Genomic DNA, 24,019 nt, shown 5'->3' on the forward strand with positions numbered 1-24,019 from the left:
GAGACAGGACTTTTGGGCTATAGGCTGCATGGGAGCTGGGTGAGGCCTGTGGCTGCTGGCTTTCCCCATTTTCTCTAGGGACCTTTGTGACACAGCAGAGGCAGACATAATCTTCCTGGAAACATAACTTCATTGCCCCAGGAACCACACCCCCATCCCCCACAGCAGCCGCAACAAGCCCTGCCCAAGCAGAGTCTGATCTGAGACTCACCTAACCCTGCTCCCACCTGATGGTCTTTCTCTACCCACCCTGGTAGCAAAAGAAAAAGGACATATCTCTTGGGAGCTCTATGGCCCCACCTGCCACATGATTCTTTCTATACTACTGCAGCTGATGCACTCTTGAAAGTGCCCCCTCCTGGCTGGAAGACAACCAACACAAAAACAGTGCACTTAACAAAAAATGAAACCAAGGACCCTCACAGAGTCCACTTCACTCCATTGCTACCTCCAACAGAGCAGGTGCTGGTATCCATGGCTTTAAGACTTGAAGACAGATCATATTACAAGACTCTTTGCAGATGCTTTCCAGTAGCAGCCTGGAGACTAGTAGCTCCACTGGGTGGCTAGATCCAGAAGAGAAATAGCAGTCGCTGCAGTTTGGCTCTCAAGAAGCTCCATCTCTAGGGGAAAAGGTAAAGCACCATATCAAGGGAGCATGCCATGAGACAAAAGAATCTGAACAGTAGCACTTGAGCCCCAGATCTTCCCTCTGACATAGTCTACCCAAATGAGAAGAAACCAGAAAAACAGTTCTGGTAATATGACAAAACAAGGTTCTTTAACTCCCTCAAAAGATTACACTAGCTCACCAGCAATGTGTCCAAACCGAATTGCCAAAAAAAGAATTCAGAAGGTCAACTATTAAGCTAATCAAAGAGGCACCAAAGAAAAGTGAAGTCCAACTTAAATCAAAAAAATGATACAGGATATGAATGGGGAAAAGTCCAGTGAAATAGATAACATAAATTTAAAAAATCACAACTTCTGGAAATGAAGGACACACATAGAGAATTGTGAAATGCACTGTAAAGTCTCAGAAGTATAATTGAACAAGTAGAAGAAGGAACTTCAGAGCTCAAAGACAAGGCTTTTGAATTAACCCAGTCCAACAAAGACAAAAAGAATTGTAAAAAATGTAAAAAGCCTCCAAGAAGTTGGAGATTTTGTTAAATGACAAAGCTAAGAATAATTGGTGTTCCAGAGGAAGAAAATAAGTGTAAAAGTTTGGAAAATGTATTTGAGGAAATAATAAAGGAAAACTTCTGCAGCATTGCTAGTGATCTAGACATCCAAATACAAGAAGCATACATACACACACATACACACACACACACACACACACACACACACACACACACACACAAAACACCTGGGAAATTTTTTGCAAAAAGATCATCACATAGGCACATAGTCATCAGCTTATCTAAATTCAAGATGAAGGAAAGAATTTTAACAGTTGTGAGGCAAATGTGTCAGATAAACTATACAGAAAAACCTATAAAATTAACCACAGATTTCTCAGCAGAAACCCTACAAGCTGAAAGGGATAGGGGTCCGATCTTTAGCCTCCTCAAACAAAACAATTATTAGCCAAGAATTTTGTATCCAGCAAAACTAAACTTCATAAATGAAGGAAAGATACAGTCCTTTTCAAAAAATGCTGACAGAATTCACCATTATGAAGCCAGCACTGCAGAACCTGCTAAAAGGAGCTCTAAATTTGGAAACAAATCATCAAAATACACCAAAACAGAATTTCCCTAAAGCATAAATTTCACAGTACCTATAAAACAACTACACAATGAAAAAAACCCAAGGTGCTGAGACAGCAAATAGCATAATGAATAGAATAAGACCTCACATCTCAATACTAACATTGAATGTAAATGGCCTAAATGCTTCACTTAAAAGATACAGAATGGCCGAATGGATAAGAACCCACAAACCAAATATCTGCTGTCTTCAAGAGACTCACCTGACACATAAGGACTCACATAAATTTAAAGAGGTGGAAAAGATATTTTATGCAAATGGACACCAAAAGGGAGCAGGAGTAGCTATTCTTATATCAGACAAAACAAAGTTTTAAGCAACAGCAGATAAAAAAGACATAGAGGGACATTATGTATTGATAAAAGGACTAGTTCAGCAGGAAACTATCACAATCCTAAATATATATGCACCTAACGCTGGAACTCCCAAGTTTATAAAACAATTACTACTAGACATAAGAAATGTGATAGACAACAACAAAATAATAGTGTGGGTCTTCAGTATGCCACTGATAGCAGTAGACAGGTTATCAAGACAGAAAGTAAACAAAGGAACAATAGACTTAAATTATACCCTAGAAAAAATGGACTAAACAGATAGTGCAGAACATTCTACCCAACAACTGCAGAATATACATTCTAATCATCAGCACATGGAACATTCTCCAAGACAGACCATATGATAGGCCACAAAACAAGTTTCAGTACATTTAAGGAAAATGAAATTATATCAAGTACTCTTTCAGACCACAGTGGAATAAAATTGAAAATCAATTCCAAAAGGAACCCTCAATACCATGCAAATACATGGAAATTAAATAACCTACCCTTGAATGATCCTTGGGTCAACAATAAAATCAAGATGGAAATTTAAAAAACTATTTGAACTGAATTATAATAGTGACACAACCTATCAAAACCTCTTGGATACAGCAAAAGGTGGTGCTAACAGGAAAGTTCATAGCATTAAATGCCTACATCAAAAAATCTGAAAAAGCAGAAATAGACAATCTCAGGTCACGTTTCAAGGAGCTAGAGAAACAAACCCAAATCTAGCAGAAGAAAATAAATAGTTAAGATTAGAGCCGAACTAAGTGAAATCGAAACAAACAAAAAACTATACCAAAGATAAATAAAACAAAAAGCTGGTTCTTAGAAAAGATAAAATTGACAGACCATTCACAAAATTAACCAAGAAAAGAAGAGAGAAGTTCCAAATAAGCTCAATTAAATACAAAATGGGAGATAATACAACCAATATCACAGAATTATGAAAGATCATTCTAGGCTACTGTGAACACCTTTATGCACACAAACTAGAAAACCTAGAGGAAATGGATAAATTTGTGGAAATATGCAACCCTCCTAAATTTAACCAAGAAGAAATAGAAACTCTGAACAGATCAATAACAAGGAGCAAGATTGAAATTTTAATTAAAAAAAAATTACCAACAAAAAAAAATCCAGGACTAGATGGATTCACAGCTGAATTCTGTCAGGCATTCAAAGAAGAATTGGTGCAAGTCCTGTTGACAATATTCCACAAGATATAAAAAAAAGGAAATCCTTTCTAAATCATTCTATGAAACCAGTATCACCCTGATACCAAAACCAGGAAATGACATAACAAAAGAAAAAAAAAATTACAGACCAATATTCCTGATGAACATAGATAGAAAAATCTTTCAACAAAATACAAGCTAACCAAAGCTACTAGCATACCAAAAAGATAATCCACCATGATCAAGTGGGTTTTATATCAGGGACACAGGAGTAGTTTAATATCTGCAAGTCAATAAATGTAATACACCACATAAACAGAATTAAAAACAAAACTCACATGATCATCTCAATAGATGCAGAAAAAGCATTTTACAAAATCCAGCATCACTTTATGATTAAAACCCTCAGCAGCAGCAGCATAGAAGGGGCATACCTTATTGTAATAAAAGCCATCTATGACAAATCCACAGTTAACATGATTCTGAACAAGGTAAAGTTCAAAGCATTGCCTCTGAGAACCAGAACAAGACAAGGATGTTCACTTTTGCCACTTCTATTCAACACAGTAGTAGAAGTCCTAGACAGAGCAATCAGAAAAGAGAAAGAAATCAATGGCATCCAAATCAGTAAATAGGAAGTCAAACTGTGACTATTTGCTGATGACATGTATTTAAAAATTCTAAAGACTTATCCAAAAAGCTTCTAAAGCTGATAAATGAATTCAGCAAAGTTTTTCGATACAAAATTAATGTACACAAATCAGTAGACATGGTGTACACCAATAGCAACTAAGCTGAGAATAAATTCAAGAATTCAACCCCTTTTACAATAGCTGCAAAATAATAATAATAATAATAATAATAATAATAATAATAATAATAATAATAAAACACTTAGGAAATTACATAACCAAGGCTGTGAAAGACCTCTACATGGAAAAACTAAAAACACTATTGAAAGAAATCATAGATGACACAAAGAAATGGAAACATCCCATGCTCATGGATGGCTAGAATCAATATTGTGAAAATGACCATACTGCCAAAGGCAGTCTACAAATTCAGTGCAATTCACATCAAAATGCCAGCATCATTCTTTACAGAACTAGAAAAAAAAATCATCCTAAAATCCATATGGAACCAAAAAAGAGCCCACATAGCCAAAGCAAGACTAAGCAAAAAGAACAAATCTGGAGGCATCACATTACCTGACTTCAAACTATAGTATAAGGTTATAGTCACCAAAACAGCATGGTACTGGTATAAAAATAGGCACATAGACCAATGGAACAGAATAGAGAACCCAGAAATAAAGCCAAATACTTACAGCCAACTGATCTTTGACAAAGCAAACATAAACATAAAGTAGGGAAAGGACACCCTATTCAACAAATGGTATTGGGTAATTGGCAAGCCACAGGTAGAAGAATGAAACTGAATCCTAATCTCTCAATTTATACAAAAATCAACTTGGCCAGGCATTATGGATCACTGCAGATCACTGCACTCCAGCCTATGTGATAGAGGGAGACGCCGTCTTAAAAAAAAAAAAAATCAACTCAACACGGCTGAAGGAATTAAATCTAAGATCTGAAACTGTAAAAATTCTGGGAGATAACATCAGAAAAACCATTTTAGGCATTGGCTTAGGCAAAGACTTCATGACCAAGAACCCAAAAGTAAATGCAACAAAGACAGATAAATAGATGGGACTTAATTAAATTGAAAAGCTTCAGCACAGCAAAAGAAATAATCAGCAAAGTTAATAGACAACCCACAGAGTGGGAGAAAGTTTTTGTAGTCTATACATCTAACAATCAATGCTCAGACTCTACAAAGAACTCAAACAAATTAGCAAGAAGTAAACAAACAATACTATCAAAAAGTGGGCTAAAGACATGAAGAGACAGTTTTCAAAAGAAGATATAGAAATGGCCAACAAACATATGAAGAAATGCTCAACATCACTAATGATCAGGGAAATGCAAATCAAAACCACAATGTGATACCATCCTATTCCTTCAAGATCGGCCATAATCACAAAATCAAAAAGTACTAGATGTTATTGTGACATGGATATGATGATGAGGGAATGTAAACTCATACAACCACTATGGAAAACAGAGTGGAAATTCCTTAAAGAACTAAAAGTAGATCTACCATTTGATCCAGCAATCCCACTCCTGGGTATCGACCGAGAGGAAAAGAAGTCATTATATGAAAAAGATATTTGCACATGCATATTTATAGCAGCACAATTCACAATTGCAAAAATATGGAACCAGACCAAATGCCCATCAGTCAATGAAGGTGTAAAGAAACTGTGGTATTTATATACAATGGAATATTACTCTGCCATAAAAAGGAATGAAAGAGTGGAATTCACAGCATCCTGGATGGAATTGCAGATTATTATTTTAAGTGAAGTAAATCAAGAATGGAAAACCAAACATCATATGTTCTCATAAGGGAGAGCTAAGCTATGAGGATGCAAAGACATAGGAATGATACAATTGCCTTTGAGTACTCGGGAAAGGGTCTGAAGATAGGGATAAAAAACTATGAGTTGGGTACAGTCTACACTGCTTGGGTGATGGGTTCCCCAAAATCTCTGAAATCGGGGGAGGGAGCCAAGATGGCCGAATAGGAACAGGTCTGGTCTACAGCTCCCAGCATGAGCAACGCAGAAGATGTGTGACTTCTGCATTTCCATCTGAAGTACCGGGTTCATCTCACTAGGGAGTGCCAGACAGTGGGCGCAGGACAGTGGGTGCAGTGCACCGTGCATGAGCCAAAGCAGGGCGAGGCATTGCCTCACTCGGGAAGCACAAGGGGTCGGGGAGTTCCCTTTCCTAGTCAAAGAAAGGGGTGACAGATGGCACCTGGAAAATCGGGTCACTCCCACCCTGATACTGCACTTTTCCGACGGGCTTAAAAAACGGCACACCAGGAGATTATATCCCGCACATGACTCAGAGGGTCCTAGGCCCATGGAGTCTCGCTGATTGCTAGCACAACAGTCTGAGATCAAACTACAAGGTGGCAGCGAGGCTGGGGGAAGGGTGCCCGCCATTGCCAAGGCTTGCTTAGGTAAACAAAGCAGCCGGGAAGCTCAAACTGGGTGGAGCCCACCACAGCTCAAGGAGGCCTGCCTGCCTCTGTAGGCTCCAACTCTGGGGGAGGGCACAGACAAACAAAAAGACAGCAGTAACCTCTGCAGACTTAAATGTCCCTGTCTGACAGAGTTGAAGACAGCAGTGGTTCTCCCATCATGCAGCTGGAGATCTGAGAATGGGTAGACTGCCTCCTCAAGTGGGTCCCTGACCCCTGACCCCCGAGCAGCCTAACTGGGAGGCACCCCCCAGTAGGGGCAGACTGACAACTCACACGACCAGGTACTCCTCTGAGACAAAACTTCCAGAGGAATGATCAGACAGCAGCATTCGCGGTTCACGAAAATCTGCTGTTCTGCAGCCACTGCTGCTGACACCCAGGCAAACAGGGTCTGGAGTGGACCTCCAGCAAACTCCAACAGACCTGCAGCTGAGGGTCCTGTCTGTTAAAAGGAAAACTAACAAACAGAAAAGACATCCACACCAAAAACCATGTGTACATCACCATCATCAAAGACCAACAGTAGATAAAACCACAAAGACGGGGAAAAAACAGAGCAGAAAAACTGGAAACTCTAAAAAGCAGAGCGTCTCTCCTCCTCCAAAGGAACGCAGTTCCTCACCAGCAATGGAGCAAAGCTGGACGGAGAATGACTTTGACGAGTTGAGAGAAGAAGGCTTCAGACGATCAAACTACTCCAAGCTACAGAAGGAAATTCAAACCAAAGGCAAAGAAGTTAAAAACTTTGAAAAAAATTTAGACAAATGTATAACTAGAATAACCAATACAGAGAAGTCCTTAAAGGAGGTGATGGAGCTGAAAGCCAAGGCTCGAGAACTACATGAAGAATGCAGAAGCCTCAGGAGCCGATGTGATCAACTGGAAGAAAGGGTATCAGTCATGGAAGATGAAATGAATGAAATGAAGTGAGAAGGGAAGTTTAGAGAAAAAAGAACAAAAAGAAACGAACAAAGCCTCCAAGAAATATGGGACTTTGTGAAAAGACCAAATCTACGTCTGATTGGTGTAACTGAAAGTGACGGGTAGAATGGAACCAAGTTGGAAAACACTCTGCAGGATATTATCCAGGAGAACTTCCCCAATCTAGCAAGGAAGGCCAACATTCAGATTCAGGAAATACAGAGAACGCCACAAAGATGCTCCTCAAGAAGAGCAACTCCAAGACACATAATTGTCAGATTCACCAAAGATGAAATGAAGGAAAAAATGTTAAGGGCAGCCAGAGAGAAAGGTCGGGTTACCCACAAAGGGAAGCCCATCAGACTAAGAGGAGATCTCTCGGCAGAAAATCTACAAGCCAGAAGAGAGTGGGGGCCAATATTCAACATTCTTAAAAGAATTTTCAACCCAGAATTTCATATCCAGCCAAACTAAGCTTCATAAGTGAAGGAGAAATAAAATCCTTTACAGACAAGCAAATGCTGAGAGATTTTGTCACCACCAGGCCTGCCCTAAAAGAGCGCCTGAAGGAAGCAATAAACATGGAAAGGAACAACCGGTACCAGCCACTGCAAAATCATGCCAAATTGTAAAGACCGTCAAGGCTAGGAAGAAACTGCGTCAACCTGCGTCAACTAATGAGCAAAATAACCAGCTAACATCATAATGACAGTATCAAATTCACACATAACAATATTAACTTTAAATGTAAATGGACTAAATGCTCCAATTAAAAGACACAGACTGGCAAATTGGATAAAGAGTCAAGACCCATCAGTGTGCTGTATTCAGGAAACCCATCTCACGTGCAGAGACACACATAGACTCAAAATAAAAGGATGGAGAAAGAGCTACCAAGCAAATGGAAAACAAAAAAAGGCAGGGGTTGCAATCCTAGTCTCTGATAAAACAGACTTTAAAACAACAAAGATCAAAAGAGACAAAGAAGACCATTACATAATGGTAAAGGGATCAATGCAACCAGAAGAGCTAACTATCCTAAATATATATGCACCCAAAACAGGAGCATCCAGATTCATAAAGCAAGTCCTCAGTGACCTACAAAGAGACTTAGACTCCCACACAATAATAATGGGAGACTTTAACACCCCACTCTCAACATTACACAGATCAACGAGACAGAAAGTTAGCAAGGATACCCAGGAATTGAACTCAACTCTGCACCAAGCGGACCTAATAGACGTCTACAGAACTCTCCACCCCAAATCAACATAATATACATTTTTTTCAGCACCACACCACACCTATTCCAAAATTGACCACATAGTTGGAAGTAAAGCTCTCCTCAGCAAATGTAAAATAACAGAAATTATAACAAAGTGTCTCTCAGACCACAGTGCAATCAAACTAGAACTCAGGATTAAGAAACTCACTCAAAACCGCTCAACTACATGGAAACTGAACAACCTGCTCCTGAATGACTACTGGGTACATAACGAAATGAAGGCAGAAATAAAGATGTTCTTTGAAACCAATGACAACAAAGACACAACATACCAGAATCTCTAGGACACATTCAAAGCAGTGTGTACAGGGAAATTTATAACACTAAATGCCCACAAGAGAAAGCAGGAAAGATCCAAAATTGACACCCTAACATCACAATTAAAAGAACTAGAAAAGCAAGAGCAAACACATTCAAAAGCTAGCAGAAGGCAAGAAATAACTAAAATCAGAGCAGAACTGAAGGAAATGGAGACACAAAAAACCCTTCAAAAAATTAATGAATCCAGTAGCTGGTTTTTTGAAAGGATCAACAAAATTGATACACTGCTAGCAAGACTAATAAAGAAGAAAAGAGAGAAGAATCAAATAAACACAATAAAAAATGATAAAGGGGATATCACCACCGATCCCACAGAAATACAAACTACCATCAGAGAATACTACAAACACCTCTACGCAAATAAACTAGAAAATCTAGAAGAAATGGATAAATTCCTCGACACATACACCCTCCCAAGACTAAACCAGGAAGAAGTTGAATCTCTGAATACACCAATAAGAGGCTCTGAAATTGTGGCAATAATCAATAGCTTACCAACAAAAAAGAGACCAGGACCAGATGGATTCACAGCCGAATTCTACCAGAGGTACAAGGAGGAACTGGTACCATTCCTTCTGAAACTATTCCAATCAAAAGAAAAAGAGGGAATCCTCCCTAACTCATTTTATGAGGCCAGCATCATCTTGATACTAAAGCCTGGCAGAGACACAACCAAAAAAGAGAATTTTTGACCAATATCCTTGATGAACATTGATGCAAAAATCCTCAATAAAATACTGGCAAACCGAATCCAGCAACACATCAAAAAGCTTATCCACCATGATCAAGTAGGCTTCATCCCTGGGATGCAAGGCTGGTTCAATATACACAAATCAATAAATATAATCCAGCATATAAACAGAAACAAAGACAAAAACCACCTGGTTATCTCAATAGATGCAGAAAAGGCCTTTGACAAAATTCAACAACACTTCATACTAAAAACTCTCAATAAATTAGGTATTGATGGGACGTATCTCAAAATAATAAGAGCTATCTATGAAAAACCCACAGCCAATATCATACTGAATGGACAAAAACTGGAAGCATTCCCTTTGAAAACTGGCACAAGACAGGGATGCCCTCTCTCACCACTCCTATTCAACATAGTGTTGGAAGTTCTGGCCAGGGCAATTAGGCAGGAGAAGGAAATAAAGGGTATTCAATTAGGAAAAGAGGAAGTCAAATTGTCCCTGTTTGCAGATGACATGATTGTATATCTAGAAAACCCGATTGTCTCAGCCCAAAATCTGCTTAAGCTGATAACAACTTCAGCAAAGTATCAGGATACAAAATCAATGTACAAAAATCACAAGCATTCTTATACACCAATAACAGACAAACAGAGAGAAAAATCATAAGTGAACTCCCATTCACAATTGCTTCAAAGAGAATAAAATACCTAGGAATCCAACTTACAACAGACGTGAAGGACCTCTTCAAGGAGAACTACAAACCACTGCTCAAGGAAATAAAAGAGCATACAAACAAATGGAAGAACATTCCATGCTCATGGGTGGGAAGAATAAGTATCATGAAAATGGCCATACTGCCTAAGGTAATTTGTAGATTCCATGCCATCCCCATCAAGCTACCAATGACTTTCTTCACAGAATTGGAAAAAACTACTTTAAAGTTCATATGGAACCAAAAAAGAGCCCACATCGCCAAGTCAATCCTAAGCCAAAAGAACAAAGCTGGAGGCATCACACTACCTGACTTCAAACTATACTACAAGGCTACAGTAACCAAAACAGCATGGTACTGGTACCAAAACAGAGATATAGATCAATGGAACACAACAGAGCCCTCAGAAATAACACCTCATATCTACAACTATCTGATCTTTGACAAACCTGAGTAAAACAAGCAATGGGGAAAGGATTCCCGATTTACTAAATGGTGCTGGGAAAACTGGCTAGTCACATGTAGAAAGCTGAAACTGGATCCCTTCCTTACACCTTATACAAAAATCAATTCAAGATGGATTAAAGACTTAAACGTTAGACCTAAAACCATAAAAACCCTAGAAGAAAACCTAGGCATTACCATTCAGGACATAGGCATGGGCAAGGACTTCATGTCTAAAACACCAAAAGCAATGGCAACAAAAGCCAAAATTGACAAGTGGGATCCAATTAAACTAAAGAACTTCTGCACAGCAAAAGAAACTTCCGTCAGAGTGAACAGGCAACCTACAAAATGGGAGAAAATTTTCGCAACCTACTCATCTGACAAAGGGCTAATATCCAGAATCTACAATGAACTCAAAGAAATTTACAAGAAAAAAACAAACAACCCCATCAAAAAGTGGGTGAAGGACATGAACAGACACTTCTCAAAAGAAGACATTTATGCAGCCAAAAAACACATGAAAAAATGCTCATCATCACTGGCCATCAGAGAAATGCAAATCAAAACCACAATGAGATACCATCTCACACCAGTTAGAATGGCAGTCCTTAAAAAGTCAGGAAACAACAGGTGCTGGAGAGGATGTGGAGAAATAGGAACACTTTTACACTGTTGGTGGGACAGTAAACTAGTTCAACCATTGTGGAAGTCAGTGTGGTGATTCCTCTGGGATCTAGAACTAGAAATACCATTTGACCCAGCCATCCCATTACTGGGTATATACCCAAAGGACTATAAATCTTGCTGCTATAAAGACACATGCACACGTATGTTTATTGCGGCACTATTCACAATAGCAAAGACTTGGAACCAACCCAAATGTCCAACAATGATAGACTGGATTAAGAAAATGTGGCTCATATACACCATGGAATACTATGTAGCCATAAAAAATGATGAGTTCATGTCCTTTGTAGGGACATGGATGAAATTGGAAATCATCATTCTCAGTAAACTATTGCAAGAACGAGAAACCAAACATGCATTTTCTCACTCATCGGTGGGAATTGAACAATGAGCTCACATGGACGCAGGAAGGGGAACATCACACTCTGGGGACTGTTGTGGGATGGGGGGAAGGGGGAGGGATAGCATTAGGAGATATACCTAATGCTAAATGACGAGTTAATGGGTGCAGCACACCAGCATGGCACATGTATACATTTGTAACTAACCTGCACATTGTGCACATGTACCCTAAAACTTAAAGTATGATATTAATTAAAAAAAATATACGAAATCACCAGTAAAGGACTTATTCATATAAACAAACATCACCTTTCCCCCAGCGCCAAAAAAAAAAAAAAACGAATTGAAATTTTAAAAAGCATAGAAAAAAATTCTAGCCTAAATATTATATTCAGCGTTTTTCTTCAAACATGAAAGAGAAGTAATGATTTCCCCAGACAAACAAAACCTATGGATTTGTATCAACATCAGACCTTTATTATAGGAAAATGCTTAAGGGAATTCTGGAGTCTGAAAGAAAAGGATGCTAATGAACATCAAAAATTTTTCTGAAGGTATAAACTCATTATCAAAAGTAACTACACAGTCCAAGATAGACTACTTTAACGCTGTAATTTTGGTGTGTCAACCACTTCTATCTTTAGTATGAAGACTTAAGGATAAACCTATTTGAGATAATAACTTTAACAATTTGTTAAAAGGTAAGCAATTATTGGGGGAACCAGCCCCCAGTATTTCACCATAGGTCCTTTCTATTTTCCCTAATTGTTGGCCGGTCTGAGAAATAAAAAGAAAGAGTACAAAGAGAGAAATTTTACAACTGGGCCTCCGGAGGTGCCATCACATATTGGTAGGACCATGATGACAACCCCGAGCCACAAAACCAGCAAGTTTTTATTAGGGATTTCAAAAGGGGAGGGGGTGTACGAATAGGGAGTGGGTCACAGAGATCACATGCTTCAAAGGGCAATAAAAGATCACAAGGCAAAGGGTAGAGCAAGATCACAAGGCAAGGGCAAAATTAGAATTACTGATGAGGGTCCATGTCTCACTGGGCATGCATTATCTTGATAAACATCTTAACAGGAAACAGGGTTCGAGAGCAGACAACCAATATGAGTAGAATTTACCAGGCTGGAATTTCCTAGTCCTAGTAAGCCTGAGGGTACTTCAGGAGACCAGGGCGTATCTCAATCCTTATCTTAACCGCGTATCTCAATCCTTATCTTAACCACATAAAACAGATACTCCCAGAGCGGCTATTCATAGAACTACCCCCAGGAATGCATTCCTTCTCCAGGGTCTCAATTATTAATATTCCTTGCTGGGAAAAGAATTCAGTGATATCTCTCCTACTTGCACATCCATCTATAGGTTTTCTGCAAGAAGAAAAATATGGCTCTATTCTGCCCGACCCCGCAGGCAGTCAGACCTTATGGTTATCTTTCCTTGTTCCCTGAAAATTGCTGTTATTCTGTTCTTTTTCAGAGTTCACTGATTTCATATTGTTCAAACACCCATGTTTTACAATCAGATTTCATATTGTTCGAACACACATGTTTTACAAAAAATTTGTACAGTTAACGCAATCATCACAGGGTCGTAAGGTGACATACATCCTCAGCTTACGAAGTTGATGTGATTAAGAGATTAAAGTAAGACAGGAGGTCGAGTGTGGTAGCTCATGCCTGTAATCCCAGCACTTTGGGAGGCTGAGGCGGGCAGAACACAAGGTCAGGAGATCGAAACCATCCTGGCTAACATGGTGAAACCCCGTCTCTACTAACAATACAAAAAAAAAAAATTAGCCAAGCATGGTGGCAGGTGCCTGTAGTCCCAGCTACTTGGGAGGCTGAGGCAGGAGAATGCTGTGAACCCAGAAGGCAGTGCTTGCAGTGAGCTGAGATCGCACCACTGCACTCCAGCCTGGGTGACAGAGTAAGACTCTGTCTCAAAAAAATAATAAAATAAAATAACGTAGGACAGGTGTGAGAAATTATAAAAGTATTGATTCTGGGAACTAATAAATGGCCATGAAATCTTAACAATTTATGTTCTTCTGCCATGGCTTCAGCTGGTCCCTCCGTTCGGGGTCCCTGACTTCCCGCAACATGCAATATAAAAAGATGAAAAAAGAACAAAAAGTCAGAAGGTGGTACGGATGGAATTAAAGTGAAGGGTTTTTAGTATTTTCATTACTTGTTATTTTGCTTTTCATTGTGATCAAAGTTATCCTCGGTTTAAAATAATTGCTTATAACGTGTTATTTGCAAGCCTCATGGTATTCACAAAGCAAAAATTATAATAAATTCACAGAAAACAAAAAGCAAGAAATTAAAACATACTACCAGAGAAAATCACTTATACATAAAGGAGGACAAGAAGGAAGGAAGAGAGTGCTAACAAAGCTACACTAAAACAAATAACAAAATAGTGGTAGTAAGTCCTTACATATCAATATTAACATTGAATGTAAATGGACTAAATTATCCAACAAAAAGACATAGAGTGGCTGAATGGATGGAAAAAAAAAAGACTCGACTATATGCTGTCTAGAAGAAACTTACTTCACCTGTAAAGATGTATATAGTCTGAAAATTAAGGATGGAAAAACATATTCCCTGCAAATAGAAACCAGAAATGAGGAGGAGCAGCTATACTTACATCAGAAAAAAATAGTTTTTATGCCAAAAATATTAAAAAAGACAAGGATGTGATTTATATAATGATAAGGGGGTCAAGTTAGCAAGAAGATATAACAATTGTAAATATTTATGTGCCCAACACTGGAGCACACAGATGTTTAAAGCAAATATTATCTATGCTAAAGAGAGAGATATATACCACAATACAATTACAGTGGGGGACATTGAATCCCCTCTTTCAGCACTGGATAGATCATGTAGACAAAAAATTAGCAAAGAAACATTGGACTTAATCTGGAGTATAGACCAAATGGGCCAAATAGACATTTACGGAACATTTTATCCAACAGCTACAGAATACACACTTGTCTCTTCAGTATATGAAACATTCTCAAGGATAGGCTATATGTTAGGCCACAAAGCAAGTCTTAAGTAATTCAAAAAAATTGAAATCATATTAAATATCTTTTGTGACTACAATGGAATAAAACTACAAATCAATAATAAGAAGAACTTTGGAAATTATACAGATATTTGGAAATTAAACAAATGTGCTCCTGAATGACCATTGGGCCAATGAAGAAATTAAGAAGAAAATTAAAAAAAAAAAAATCAACAATGAAAATTAAAACAAAACATACCAAAACTTATGGGATATGGAAAAAGCAGTACTAAGACGGACATTTATAACAATAAACATCTACATATTAAAATGTAAACTTCAAATAAACAACCTAGTAGTGCATTTTAAAGAACTAGAAAAAGGAGAGCAAAGCAAACCCAAAGTTAGTAGAAGAAATAATAACATCAAAAAAGAAATAAAGGAAATTGAGACAAAAAATAGGATAAATGGAATGAAAACTTGTTTTCTCAAAAGATAAACAAATTGATAAAATTTTCACCAGACTATGAAAAACAGGGAAGACAAAAATAAAACGAGAGACAAAAAAAGAGACATTACAGCGGATACCACAGAAATTGAAAGCATCATGAGAGAGTATTATCAACCCAATTATTTAAAGAAGAACTAATATCAATCCTTTTCAGACTATTCTGAGAAGGGACTAATTCTAAATTCATTCTTCAAGTACAGTATTACCCTGATGCTAAGACCGGACAAAAACAACACAAACAAACAAACAAAACTGCAGGCCAAGATCTCTGATGAATATGCATACAAAAATACTAGCAAACTCAACTCAAACCACATGAAAAAGATTATCCATCATCATGTAGTGGAATTCATTTCAGGGATTCAAAGATGGTTCAGCATATGCAAATCAATAAGTGTGATGCATCACATCAACAGAATAAGGGACAAAAAACATATGGTCATTCCAATATATGCCAAATAAATACTTGATAAAATTCAACATTTCTTCATGATAAAAACTCTTTAAAGAACTTGGTACAGAAGGAACATACCACCATATGATAAACTCAATATATAACAAACCCACAACTAGTATCATACCGAATGGGGAAAAACTGAAAGCCTTTTCTTTAAGATCTGGAGCAAGACAAGGATCCCCACTTTCACCACTATTATTCAACATAGTATTGAAAGTCCTAGCCACAGCAGTTAGGCAAGAGAAATAAACACAAGGTATTTAATTTGGAAAGCAGGACGTCAAATTATTTTTGTTTTCAGATAGTATGATTTCATATTTAGAAAAATCTAAGGACTCTACCAAAAGAATAATAAAAAAAGAAGTCTATTAGAACTGACAAAACCAGTAAAGTTGCAGTATACAAAATCAGTAGCATTTATTAAGTTCCAGGATACATGTGCAGGATGTGCAGGTGTGTTACATAGGTAAATGTGTGCCATGGTGGTTTGCAGCACAGATCAACCCATCATCTTGGTATTAAGGCCAGTATCCATTAGCTATTTTTTTCTGATGCTCTTTCTCCCCCCACCACTTCTCCAGAAAGGCCCCAGTGTGTCTTGTTTCCTCCCTATGTGTTCTGATCATTCAGCTTCCACGTATAACTGAGAACATACAGTGTTTTGTTTTCTGTTACTGCTGTTAGTTTGCTGAGGATAATGGCTTCCAGCTCCATCCATGTCCCTGCAAAGGACATGGCCTTGTTCATTCTTTTTGGCTACATAGTATTTTTTTGATGTATATGTATTTCATTTTCTTTATCCAGTCTCTTATTGATAGCTATTTGGGTTGATTTCATGTCTTTGTTTTTGTGAATAGTGCTGCAATGAACATATGCATGCATGTATCTTTATACTAGAATAAATTATATTTCTTTGGGTATATACCCAGTAATGGGATTGCTGGGTCAAATGGTATTTCTGCCTCTAGATCTTTAAGGAATTACCATTTTGTCTTCCACAGTGGTTGAATTAATTTACACTCCAACCAACAGTGTAAACACATTCCTTTTTCTCCACAACCTCACCAGCATCTGTTGTTTTTTGACTTTTTAATAATTGCTATTTTTACTGGCATGAGATCCTACCTCATTGTGGTTTTGCTTTGCACTTCTCTAATGATCATGTTACAAGATTCCTTTGGTGCAATTTCACCAGCTGGAAATCTCTCCAGCCACTGCCATCTCTGCCTGGGCCTCCCTCAGGGCCTGCTGGGCTCACTTTGCCCACTCAGCCTGGCAGGCTGAGTTCAGCTTGCATCCCAGCCTGGATTGCTTGCCTGCTGTGGCTCTGCACTCAGCCCACAGCTAGCCTGGTCAGGCTGCAAGCAGATTCCAACTTGGGCGCCTGTATCTATATCAGGGAAACATGGTGGTGCCCCAAAACTCGAAGATGCCAGCAATCACGGTGCTTCAAGGGGTGTTACAGCTCTTGATCAGGGAATCCTGAGGTCTGAGCTTCCAAGACATGTCACAGCTCTTTACTTCCATAGCTCAGCAAGTGGTACCGTGTTACCTCAGTTTTTACTTCCATGTTTTGGCATGTTCTGGGTTCTTGTTTCATGACCAAGTGGAATAAAGTACATGGACACCAGAGACTTAGTAACACAGAGCAGAATTTTATTGAGCAACAGAAGGAAAGCTCTCAGCTCTGAGAGTGGACCTGAAAGCATGCAGTAGTCTTTGAAGGTGAGTCTAGCATTTTTATGGGTTTAGAATGGAGGAATGCCTGCTGATTGGTTTATGGTTGGACTTTGGAAAAAACACCATTTTATTTTGTAAAAGGTATCTATCAGAAGGAAATAAACAAGAGAGAGAGGCTAAGACAGGGATAGAAGTTTTCACTCTGATTGTGGGCTCTATCTGGAACAGGCAGCTCAGATTTCAGGCTTTCAACTCTCTTTGATTTGAAGGTCAAGTTTCACGAGGGACCTGTTCCTGTCTGCCTCAGAATTTCTCTGTTTCCTGTGGCTATCAGTCACTGATGTTTAGCTTTTTTTTCATATGTTTCTTAGCCACATGAATGTTTTATTTTGAGAAGGGTTTGTCCATGTTTTTTACCCACTTTTAAATGGGGTTGTTTTTTTCTTTTATATTTGTTTAAATTCCTTTTAGAATCTAGATATTAGACTGTTGTCAGATGGACAGATAGCAAAAATTTTCTCTTTCTCTGTAGGTTGTCTATTCACTCTGATGATAGTTTCTTTTGCTGTGCAGAAGCTCTTTCACTTAACTAGGTCCCATTTGTCAATTTTTGCTTTTATTGCAATTGCTTTTGGCATTTTTATAATGAAATCTTTGCCCATGCCTATTTCCTGAATGGTATTTCCTAGATTTTCTTCTGGATTTTTATAGTTTTGGGTTTTACATTTAAGTCTTTACTCCATCTTGAGTTAATTTTTGTATAAGATGTTAGGAAGGCTTACAATTTCAATTTTCTGCATATGGCTAGCCAATTCTCCCAACACTATTTATTAAATAGGGGATTGTCTTCCCATTGCTCATTTTCGTCAGGTTTGTCATAGATCAGATGGTTGTAGGTGTGTTGTTTTATTTCTGAGTTCTCTATTATCTTCCATTAGTCTATGTGTCTGTTTTTGTACCAGTACCATGTTGTTTTGCTTACTGTAGCCTTGGAGTATAGTTTGATTTTGGGTAGCATGATGTGTCTGGCTTTGTTCTTTTTGCTTAGAATTGCTGTGGCTGTTTGGGCTCTTTTGTGGTTCAGTATGAATTTTGAAGTAGTTTCTTCTAATTCTGTGAAGAATGTCAATGGTATTTTAGTGGGAATAGCATTGGATGTATAAATTACTTTGTGCAATATGGCCATTTTCATAATATCAATTATTCCTATCCATGAGCATGGAATGTTCTTCCATTTGTTTGTGTCCTCTCTGATTTCCTTCAGCAGTGGTTTGTAGTTTGTTTGTTTGTTTGTTTGTTTGTTTTGAAGAGGTCCTTCACCTCCCCTGTTAGCTGTATTTCTAGGTAATTGATTTTTTTGTAGCATTTATGAATGGGAGTTCATTTGTGGTTTCACTCTCTGCTTGCATGTTGGTATGTAGAAATGCTAGCAATTTTTGCACATTCATTTTGTATTCTGAGACTTTGCTGAAGTTGCTTATTAGCTTAAGATGCTTTGGGGCTGAGATGATGGGATTTATTAGATATAGGATTATGTCATCTGCAAACAGGGATAGTTTGACTTCCTGTTTTTCTAGTTGAATGCCTTTTTTTTTTTCTCTTGCCTGATTTTCCTGTCCAGAACTTGCAATTCTGTATCGAATACGAGTTGTGAGATAGGGCATACTTGTCTTGTGCCAGTTTTTAAGGGGAATGCATTTAGCTTTTGTCCATTCAGTATGATATTGGCTGTGGGTTTCTCATATATGGCTGTTATTATTTTGAGGAATGTTTCTTTAGTACCTAGTTTATTGAGAGTTTTTAACATGAAGTGATGTTGAATTTTATTGAAGGCCTTTTCTGTATCTATTGAGATAATCTTGTGTTTTTTGGTTTTATTTCTGTTTATGTGATGAATTACATTTGTTAATTAATGTATGTTGAACCAACCTTGCATACTGGGGATGAAGCCAACTTGATTGTGGAGGATAAGCATTTTGATGTGCTGCTTGATTCAGTTTGCCAGCATTTTATTGAGGATTTTTGCATTGATGTTTATCAGGAATGTTGGCCTGAAGTTTTCTTTTATCTCTTTCAGGTTTTGATATCAGGATGATGTTAGCCTCATAAAATGAGGAAGAGTCCCTCCTCAATTTTTTGGAATAGATTTAGTAGAAAATATGGAAGAGTCCCTCCTCGATTTTTTGGAATAAATTCAGTAGAAAAGTTGCCAGCTCTTCTTTGTACCTCTGGAACAATTTAGCTGTAAATCTGTCTGATCCTTAGCTTTTTTGTTGGTTGGTAGGCTACTTATTACTTTCTCAATTTCAGAACTTGTTATTGGTTTATTTAGGGATTCAACGTCTTTCTCATTCAGTCTTGGGAGGTGTATGTGTCCAGAAATTTATCCATTTATTCTACATTTTCTATGTTATGTGTATAGAGGTGTTCGTGGTATTCTCTGATGGTTGTTTGTATTTCTGTGGAGTCAGTGGTGATATCTCCTTTATCATTTTTGCTTGTGGCTATTTGATTCTTCTCTCTTTTCTTCTTTATTAGTCTAGATAACATATCAATATTTTTTTCAAAATACAGCACTGGGATTCACTGAGTTTTGTGAAGTTTTGTTTGTGTCTCTATCTCCTTCAATTCCACTCTGATCTTGGTTATGTTTTGTCTTCTGCTACCTTTGGGGTTTGTTTGCTCTTAATTTTCTAGTTCTTTTAGTTGTAATGTTAGGTTATTAATTTGAGATTCTATAGCTTTGTAATGTGGGCATTCAGTGCTATAAATTTCCCTCTTAACACTGCTTTAGCTGCATCTCAGATTCTGGTGCATTGTCTCTTTGTTCTCACTAGTTTCAAAGAACTTCTTGATATCTGCCTTAATTTCATTACTTACCCAGGAGTGATTCAGGAGCAGATTTTTCAATCTTCATGTAGTTGTTTGGTTTTCCATGAATTTCTTGATCTTGAGGTCTAATTTGATTGTGCTGTGGTCTGAAAGACTTTCTTATGATGTCAGGGGTTTTTTTATTTGCTGAGGAGTGTTTTATTTCCGATTATGTTATCAATTTTAGATTAAGTGCCATGTGGCAATGAGAAGAATGTGCATTCTGTTGTTTTTGGGTAGAGAGTTCTGTAGATGGTTCTGCTTGATCCAGAGGTGAGTTCAGATCCTGAATATCTTTGTTAATTTTCTTTTTCAGTGGTCTAATATTGTTAGTGGGGTGTTTAAGTCTCTCATTATTATTGTGTGTGCGTCTAAGTCTCTTTGTAGGTCTCTAAAAACTTGCTTTATGAATCTTGGTCCTCCCATATTGGGTGCATATGTATTTAGGATAGTTAGCTCTTGTTTAATTGACCCCATTTACCATTATGTAATGCCCTTCTCTGTCTTTTTTGTTCTCTCTTGGTTTAAAGTCTGTTTTTTCAGCAACTAGGATTGCAACACCTGCTCTTTTTTTTTTTCCATTTGCTTGATATTTTTTCCTCCATCCCTTTATTTTGAGTTTATTTGCACATGTGTTTATTTGCACATGTGATGGGTCTTTTGAAGACAGCATACTGATGGGTCTTGACTCTTTATCCAGCTTGCCATTCTATGTTATTTAATTAGGGCATTTCTCCCATTTACATTTAAGGTTAATATTTTTATGTGTGAATTTGATCATGTTATGATGGTAGCTGTTTATTTTGCACACTTGTTTATGTGGTTTCTTGATAGTGTCACCAGTCTGTGTACTTCAGTGTGTTTTTGTGGTGGTTGATAGCAATTTTTCTTTTTCTTATTTAGTGTTTTATTTGGCACCCTTGCAGGCTTGCCTGGTAGTGACAAGTTTTCTTTGCATTTGCTTGTCTTCAAGGGATCTTATTTCTCTCTCACTTGTGAAGCTTAGTTTGGGCCAATATAAATTTCTGGGTTGGAATTTTTTTTTCTTTAAGAATGTTGAATATTGGCCCCCCATCTCTTCTTGCTTGCAGGGTTTCCACTGAGAGCTCTGCTGTTATTCTGATGGGTTTCCCTTTGCAGGTGACCTGGCATTTCTCTCACTTCCCTTAACATCCTCTATTTCATTTCAATCTTGAAGAATCTGATGATTATGTGTCTTGGGGTTGATTTTCTTGTGGAGTTTCTGACTGGGGTTCTCTCAATTTCCTAAATTTGAATGTTGGCACCTCTTGTTAGGTTTTGGAAGTTTTCCTGGATGATATCCTGTAGTATGATTTCCAAGTTTGTTCCATTCTTCCCATCTCTTTCATGTACCACAATCAGTGATAGGTTCAGTCTTTTTACATAGTCCCATATTTTTTGGAGGTTTAGTTTGTTTTTTAATTTTTTTTCCCTTTTTGTTTTGTCTGTCCGATTTCAGAAAGATAGTCTTCAAGCTCTGAGATTATTTTCTTTGCTTGGTCTATTCTGCTTTTGATACTTGTGATAGCATTGTCAATTTCTCATATGTTTTAAGGCTCCATCAGGTCTTTTATATGCCTGTGTAAAGTTGCTATTCTGGTTTTCAGCTCCTGTATATTTTTCATGATTCTTAGTGTTTTTGCATTGGGCTAGAACATGCTTCTTTAGCTCAGCAGTTTGTTATTACTTACCTTCTGAATCCTACTTCTGTTAATTCAGCCACCTCAGCCTCAGCCCCAGCTGTGAGCCCTTGCTTGAGAGCTGTTGTGGTCATTTGGAGGAGAAGAGGCACTCTGGATTTTTTCATTTTTCAGCATTTTCACACTGATTCGTTTTCATCCTTGTAGGCTTATTTATCTTCGGTTTTTGGTACTGCTGACCTATGAATGGGATATTTGTAGCGGTTTTTGTTAATAATATTTTTGTTGTTGCTTTCATTTGTTTGTTTTTCTTTTAACAAGCCACTTTCCTATAGGGCTCTTGTGTTTTGTAAGGTGATCATTCCAGACCCTAGTTGCCTAGGTTTTCCCCTTACCTGGAGTTATCACCAGTGAAGGGTGCTTCTTTCTCTAGGAGCTCTGACCCAGGGGAGGTACTGACCTATTGTTGCCCAGACGCTCCTGTAGGAGGTGTCTGGAGACCCCTGTTGGGAGCTCTCACCCAGTCAGGAGAGACAGAATTAGAGGCCCACTTAAGGAAGCAGACTGGCTGGTTTTGGGTAGAGCAGGTGTGCTGCATTGGGTGTAACTCTTCCTTGTCCAGACCTGCTGGACTCTCCAGAGCCAGCAGTCTGGAAAGGCTGAGTTGACTGAACTGCAGAGGTGTCAGCCACCCCTCCTCCTGGGGGCTTTTGTTTAGGAAGAGATCAAAGTTCTGTTTGTATAACCCTGGCTGGAGTTGCTGAAATTCCCACAGGGAGGCCCTGCCCAGTGAGGAGGGATGGATTGGGGTCCTACTTAAAGAAGCAATCTAGTCACAATTTGGAACAGCAGCTGTGCTGCATTGTGGGGGGACTCCTCATGAGGACCACCTGGACTCCCTGGAGCCGGCAGGCTAGAACTGCCTAGTTGACTGAACCACAAAAATGGCAGCTTCCCCTCCTGGGGGCTTCATCCCTGGAAGAGATCAGAGTTCTGTTTGTATAATCCTGGCTGGAGTTGCTGAAATTCCCACAGGGAGGTCGCCCCTGAGTGAGGAGGAATTGATTGGAGTTCCACGTTAAAAAGTAGTCTGGCCATGATCTGGCACAGCAGCTGTGCTGCATTGTGTGGAATTTGTTTTCAGGCAGACTGCCTGGACCCACTGGATTCAGCAGGCTAGAATGGCTGATTCAACCTAACCACAGGAATGGCAGCCGCCCTTCTCACCAGAAATTCATTTGTGTCAGGCAATCTCCAGCCTGTTTTCCAATCTAGTGGTTCTTAACTTGTGAGGTACCATGGAGGTGGGGCCTACAAAACAACACTGCTTGGCTCCCTGGATTCAGCCCTTTTTTCGGTAGAGTGTACTGATGGATCTCCTACCTTGCTGGCATTCCTGAAGCTAGAGTCAGAAAAACTCCTGGGTTTCTGTGAGCCTGAACTACTGTTCTGCCAAGACTCTGCACACTTTTTTGTATTGGACCCAAGGCTTGATGGAATGGGTTCACGAAGGGATCTCCTTATCCGTGGGTTGCAAAAATCTGTGGAAGAAGTGTGGTTTCCCGAGTAAGGTTACACAATCACTCACCACTTTCCTTGGCTAGGGGTGGGGGTTACTTTGGGTCGGTGCCACTCCCGGGTGGGCTATCACCCCACCCTGCTTTTTTTCATTCTCTGTGGGTTTAGCCATTCACCTAGTCACCAGGTCCAAATGCGAGGACCTGGATATTTCAGTCGAAAGTGCTAAATTCACTTGAAGTTTTCATTCTTCTCTGTGAGAGCTGCGGACGGCAATTGCTTCTAATTTGCCATTTTGGCTTGTTTCCCCAAGTCAGTAGCATTTCATAAACCAATAGTGAACAGTCAGAAAAACCAAGAAATTAATTTCATTTACAATAGCCACAAATAAAATAAAGTACCTAGAAATAAACGTAATCAAAGAAATGAGAGATCTCTATAATGAAAAGTATAAAACAATGAACAAAATTAAAGAGGACATAAAAATGGAAAT

At 38.5% G+C, this 24,019-nt stretch overlaps 1 protein-coding gene across 14 annotated transcripts in view, besides 1 other annotated feature; it reads left to right on the plus strand.

The window, feature by feature from the left end:
- The window catches only part of ZC3H12B (zinc finger CCCH-type containing 12B), a 473,062-nt gene that overhangs the window by 183,661 nt on the left and 265,382 nt on the right, over positions 1–24,019 (plus strand). The gene's annotated exons all lie outside the window — the stretch shown is intronic.
- Positions 22,503–22,797: an enhancer, noted in NCBI's record as "tiled region #9838; HepG2 Activating DNase matched - State 1:Tss". NCBI's record gives its function as "activates a minimal TATA promoter and a strong SV40 promoter by Sharpr-MPRA in HepG2 cells {active_cell/tissue: HepG2}" and the evidence as "EXISTENCE:reporter gene assay evidence [ECO:0000049][PMID:27701403]".

Source organism: Homo sapiens, chromosome X (assembly GCF_000001405.40).
Source record: "Homo sapiens chromosome X, GRCh38.p14 Primary Assembly".
Classification (NCBI taxonomy): domain Eukaryota; kingdom Metazoa; phylum Chordata; class Mammalia; order Primates; family Hominidae; genus Homo; species Homo sapiens.